The sequence below is a fragment of the Homo sapiens genome, chromosome 10 (genome assembly GCF_000001405.40).
Source record: "Homo sapiens chromosome 10, GRCh38.p14 Primary Assembly".
Taxonomy (NCBI): domain Eukaryota; kingdom Metazoa; phylum Chordata; class Mammalia; order Primates; family Hominidae; genus Homo; species Homo sapiens.
The window spans coordinates 56,313,245-56,319,883 of NC_000010.11; the positions used below are offsets into that span (position 1 = coordinate 56,313,245).

Sequence of the window (6,639 nt, forward strand, 5' to 3'; positions counted from 1 at the left end):
TTTAATATTTCTCTTTGCCAGAATGCTTGATCAAAAGTATTGATTATCTGGTGTCAGCTGTTTTCCTGAATTCATGCAGTACTGACAAAGAAGAATTTGGAATTAAATACCAGAGAAGAGTTCTATTCCACCTAGAGGGTACAGTTTTGTGACAATATTTTTGACATTCTAATTAGGTTATCAGCCTATGATTGCAAATAAAAAATGAAACAATAATAATATTTAAATACAAAGGTATTTAAAGTAATGAAAGCAAAAGTCTAATGTACATCTTTAGTTCTTTTTTCATAGCTGAGTTAATAAATACTTTTTGTATCAAGTTAATTTGATATAAAAAGTAATTCTTATATATTACTAATCAAGATAATATGAATTACAACAAAGCATTACTTAGAAATATAATATTAAAATGCAACAGCTTTAAATCCTATTGACCCAATGGATATTACCTACAAGTCAGGCTCTGTACAAACCCATTCAGAATGCTCCAGCTGACAGTGCAGTATTTTATGCCAATCAAATTATGTTATTGTGATAGAACATGATATGGATTTTTAAGAAAAAAATGATCCAATACAAAACTGTTATATACTTGGCCCTCATCCCCATGATCACAAATCCCAGAATTTCAAGAAAATTTGGCCAACTGAAGTAAATTGTAAATTGTGTTTACACTGTCACATAGGTGGCATCACTATAGCTAAGACACAAAGTATTCTCTGTGTATTGTCAAGATTATCCTGAAATACCATAATTTTTAAAAGTTTTCAGGACATATCTATTTATCTAATGTTATATATATTTAAATAAAATATCTATACTATTTTAATATATACCTTAATTTTCTCTGCTATGTGTTTAATTCTGTCATGTAAAAAAGAGACACGAAAATTGTAACCCCCAGCACCTTAGAATGTGAACTTATTTGAAAATGGAATCATCACAGAGGTAATCTGGTTGAAATGAGCTCATTAGGATAGACGGTAATCCAATATGACTGGGCTACTTATAGAAAAGAGAAAATTTGGACACAGATAGACACATAGAGGGAAGATGATGAAGATACACAGAGAGAATGCCACTGAAGATGGAGGTAGAGATTGCAATTATGTTGCCACAAACCAAGGAACATCTGGGATTGCCAGAAGCAGGAAGAGGCAAAGAAGTAACCTTCTCTACAGGTGTTAGAGGGAGCATGGCCCATCAATCCCTTGATTTCACACTTCTAGCCTTTAGAACTATGAAACAAAACTTTTCCCTTGTTCTAAGACATCTAATGTATAATACTTTGCTATTGCAGCCATAGGAAGCTATACCTTCTTTCCTTCACTATTAAAAATTTTATTGTTCTCTTTCAACTCCTTTGACATCATGTCTATTCCTTTATAACTAAAGTCAATGATTAATTAAAGAATAATATCTCTTTCTAAGTGTAAGGTTGTGTTCCAACTGTCTTACATACATTAATTCATTTAATTCTTACAACAACCCTGTGAAGTAAATACTATTATTTTGCTTTTTACAGATGAGAAAGCAGAATTGCAGGAATGTTAAATCATTTCCTCAAGTAAAAACACAAAATTGTTTTTGGTTAAGCAACTTTCGTTTGTCTGTCTTTTGTATTTATGCTGATTTTACTTTGCTCAATATGTTAGAAAGCACTCAGGAATAAATGTGATTTACATTGAATCTGGGTTGCTTAATCAAAGTAGTTACAATTTCTTAGGCATAAATATCTAGATATGGGAAGTTCCACAATCTTATTATAGTTCACATTGTTCTCTTGCTCAAAAAAAAAAATATTTTGTGTGAGGACCTACTGAAAAGAATTGAGGAAGAAAATAAACACAATTTTCTATTCAAGAGGCTGTTTCTTTCTGCCCTTCCTATGTTTTGATATGTCCTGGACAGAATTGTGACGAAAGCAGCAAAGGCTTCCTCAGTGCATGCTTAGTGTATTTCTTTATACATTTATGTTAAATGTACCAATCAATTCAAAATAGAATTGATTGGTACCAAAACATTTTATCCATTTCACTTACTCATTTTCAAAAGATGCTAAAATAATATTTTATAGTGAACCAGTGTGGTCAAAAACACTCTTTTTATATAGCTTTCACACATGAGTAATGATTTTGGACATATCAAAATTCATTTCAATTAATAATTGCATTCCACTTAGGTTTACAAATCATTTACAAAAGTTTTTCAATACTGTACAGAATCTGAGATTTTGCCCTATGTTCAAACAAGAATTTAATCTGCCACAATATCAAGAATGTTGGCAGAAGACTAAGGCTTCTGTGTAGAGACAAAGGATTTTATTACTCCCAGAAATAGCAATAGTCAGATTATTAACATTTTCTTGTGCTGGTTCTTTAGGCCCTAATTCCCATAGGGCTACATGACAAAAAATAATAATAGGTGCCTCTACAGTGGGCTATATTACCAGAGAGGAACACTAAAGTCAAGGATCATGGATGTTTTATAATGAACAGTAAACATGCTGTACATTTGCCCTGAAGGGAGATTACATCTCTATCATCCAAAACTGTAAGCAAACATGCCCTTTACTGTAGAAAAAGAGATCATCTGTGTTTTCCATGGACAGTCTCCATAGAAACATCTTTGAAAAAAGAATTAAGAACAAAAACATTTATTTCCTCTGCTTGAAAGACATGCAGAAACACAAGAAGCCTATGAATAATTGTCTCCCATAAAAGGCATGCAATTAACTCTTCCTAAGTGATCATTAAAAATAAACTATTTAGCTTAGTTATGGATACTTAGTAATATATTCAATTAAATCCATAAACAATTCTGGAATCAATACCAATAATGCCAACAAATAAACATGCCTAACAGGAGTGTCTTGGTCCACTTTTGCTGCTATAACAAAATATGGAATGGGTAATTTATAAAGAGCAGAAACTTATTTCTCACAGTTCTGGGAGCTAGGAAGTCCAAGATCAAGGCATTCACAGAATTTGCTTTCGTATAAGGGCTAGTCTAGTCTTTGCTTCTAAATTGGCTTATTGGGAGGAGAGAGGAATGCTGTGTCCTCACATAGTAGAAGGCAGGAGAGCAAACAACCTGAACACTTTAAGAAGATTCTTTTACTAAATCCTTAATTATATTCACAAGAGTAGGAGCTCTAATGATCTAACTACCTCTTAAAGCCATACCTCTTAATACGCTTAGATTGGCCATTAAGCTTGAACACCTAAATATTAGAGACAACACATGCAAACTATAGCAAAGAGTAAGAACTGGGAAGCAAAACAAGACTACATGATAAACAACAGATGACGAAAAGGGAGCAAATTAAATGAACATCCAGTGGTTGCCACTGGGTCTTCCACTTCTAGTCCATGTGTGGTAAGAGGAATAGGAACTACACTTTCACCAGAAATGACTAAAAAACTAGAGAAATAAATTAAACAATTGTTATCAGACATTGTACATCAGGTGATGTGGGATGGAGATTTCTGGGGAAGAGAATAATAATGAAGTGATCCTTATGATTGCTTCACCTTACTTCCTGGAGATAGTCTGCAGGCTGTGACTCAGGGTCACAGAACACCAAGCTCAGAAGTTCCTTTGAATTGAGGAGATGGCACAAGAAAACCAGGGAGGTGCAAAGTAACATGAAGAAATGGTTTCTGGTGGAGATGGATATGTTTGTTTTCATGGGTTGTGATGATGATTTCATGGGTGTATAGATATATGAACACTAATCTAACTGTACACTTTAAATAAGTGTAGTTAACTGTATTCCATACAGCTTTAAATAAAATGATGAAAATTATACAAACGGTTTATGTGATTAGTTTGGAAATAGTGATAGTGGCAGGAGAAAGACAAACTCCTAGGCAGATAGGGATGGGTCCTCAATGAAACCTGACCTTCAAGCCAAAGAGCCTGAAGCCTGAAAACTGAGCCACCAGTTCTGGGTGGAGTCCAGGACCTGAGTGAGAACTTCCTCTATGCCTTTTAGCTAATCAAATGGTGCTTTTTATAGGCCCACCCACAGACTCCTTAGCACACATTCCCCCATTCTAAGCCCATACAAACCCTGGACTCAGCCTCGCAGAGGGCTACCTGCTTTCAGTCCCTCTCTCACACAGAAGGCTAACCACTTTGGGTCCCCTCTCATTATCGAGAGCTTTTCTGTCACTCAATAAAATTCTTCTCTGCCTTGCTTGCTCTCTAGTGTCTGTCCACCTCATTCCTCTTGGTTGTGGGACAACAATTTGGAACCTCCCAAAAGGTGGGTGTGAAAAGAGCTGTAACACGCGTTTCTGCTCACCAAGCTACAGGAGTGAAAAAAACTGCTGAACGCCACACAACCCCATTCACCAAGCTGTGGGCAGCAGGAACAGGTGAGGACTGCAACATCTCCTGGGGGCTCGGACCTTGGGGCTCCCCAAGCAAAAGCTGTAACTCTCCCTGGGCCTCTGTCATTGCTGGCATCTCCTAGTTTTCAGACACCTTTGTGTCCCCCTCTTCCGGATGCCAGGGCCCAAGGCAGAAGCTGGTTGCAGCATGCCCAGACCAGCCTCTTGGCTGAACGCAGAGCCACAGCTGGCACAGGATTCTGGTGTAGCATGAGCTGACTTAAGCCTGCCAGGCCAAGTGGGTGGAGCCAGCCATGTGGGCCTGAGGAAAGCCCAGGCAGAGGTGCCAGCAGCAGAGAATTTTCACTGGCAAAGTGGCACTAAAAGAATCCTGTGTCAATAGTAAAAGTACATAGACAGGTTTTATTTTGTAAGATTTAAAATTAAAATGTATTTATTATATTTCACTTTTAAATGATCTTAGTTTAGATTATATATGTGTATATATCTACATGTCTTGGTTTAGATTACACACACACACCATATACACAAACACACACACACAATGGACTGAATGTTTGTGTCGCCCCTAAAATTCATATGCTGGAGCCTTCATCACCAATGTGATAGATTTGGAGATGTAGCCTTTGGAAGGCAATTAAGTTTAGATGAGTTCATGAGAATAGATCCCCATGATGGGATTAGTGACCTTATAAAAAGAAGAGACATGAGATATCTCTCTGCATGCATGCTTCAAGGAAAGGCTATGTGAGGACCTAATCTGAAAGGCCATCACCAAGAAACCAGCCATGATGGCATCCTATCAGACTTTCAGTTTCCAGATCTATGAGGAATAAATGTTTGCTGTTTAAGCCACCCAGTCAACAGTATTTGTTATAGCACCCCTAACTGACCAAGAAAATATATTTTTAAACCAAGTTTAGATTAAAAAAATATTTTTTTTATCCTGCCAAAAGTCATTTTAATGAGATTGTCATGATGGCTTTAGGAAAAAGATGAAATGCATATAGATGTATTATGGAATTTCTGAAGCATTGTACTATGAGGAACTTTGAAGTAAGAGTAAGTAGTAAAAATGCGCAATTTCTGTCCTACGTGAAATTATATCAGACAACCTCTGCTTACACTTATAATACATGAGTGAGTTTTAAACTCCTCATAATACACTGGTCTTAGAGACCAAGAAAGCATGATTCCTGTGATTCATCTGGGCTTAGACTGAATTTTTATTGTTGCTATTTACCTTCTCCCTTAATTATATATAATTATGCTGTATTGTGTTTAACAAATGACACCTGACACATCACAGGATAAAAGTCATCCAGATCTGGGTCACTGGAGCTGAGTAGGGTAGACTCAGCTGCATGTGGTGGTAAGAAGTCTCAGTTCAGCCAAAAGAACAAACAAACAAACAAAACGTTCAAACCTTCAGTTTACAATAGCAGGTGGTAGCACTTACCCAAATATGGGCAGAAAGCGGTGGCAATGCATCCAAAAGTAAATGGGCCAAAATTTACTAAATATAGCATCAAAACTCTGACTAAAAATAGTAGAGCTACAGCCTAGCCCTTTCAAATAAGTGAGGCTGTAAAATCTTTACAATGACCCATTCCTGGGTTTTTTTGTTTTGTTTTGTTTTTTGTCTAGGGGACTAGACAGAAGTTCATTTAGCAATGGTAGACTCAGCACTGGCTTGTCACTAATTTCTTTGATGTCAATGTTTTTCATTACTTTTGCTCCAGGTGAGAATAACTTTTAGAAATGAGATAGGATGAAGCAGAGTATGGGACCAAACCATGCATGGCTGGGGGAATCAAGATGGTAAAATGAATGGAATTGTTCTCAAATTTCAGGTGTTGAACAATTACTTGGAAGACATTGTAAGAATTCAGACTCCCATTCCTACCCCTTTTCAGAGTCTGACTCACTAGATCTAAACTGGGACCCAGGAAACTGTACTTAAATAAGTTTGTTGCATAACTGAAGACCATATTTTGGTAAATGTGGTCAGTGGTTAGGAGGTGGACTTTGAAACCAGGCAGGCTTCATGATTGAATCCCAAACTGTGTCATACCTTAGCTATGTAAATATAAGCAGATCATGATACTGAAACTAAGTCTTCAGTAAAAGTAGGTAATTACCTTATCTCAAAAAGTTCTGGTGAAGAGTAAATGTAAATTATTATGACTAGAGCATGACACATATTTACTTGTAATAACAGAGCTCTCTTACTGTTATTAAAGAACTAAGGACATGGCGAAGCCTGACAAAAATTGGTAGT

At 36.5% G+C, this 6,639-nt stretch overlaps 1 annotated feature.

Annotated features, from left to right (window-relative positions):
• Positions 6,316 to 6,405: a silencer, noted in NCBI's record as "silent region_2373". NCBI's record gives its function as "represses an Ori minimal core promoter by ATAC-STARR-seq in GM12878 lymphoblastoid cells {active_cell/tissue: GM12878}" and the evidence as "EXISTENCE:reporter gene assay evidence [ECO:0000049][PMID:35858748]".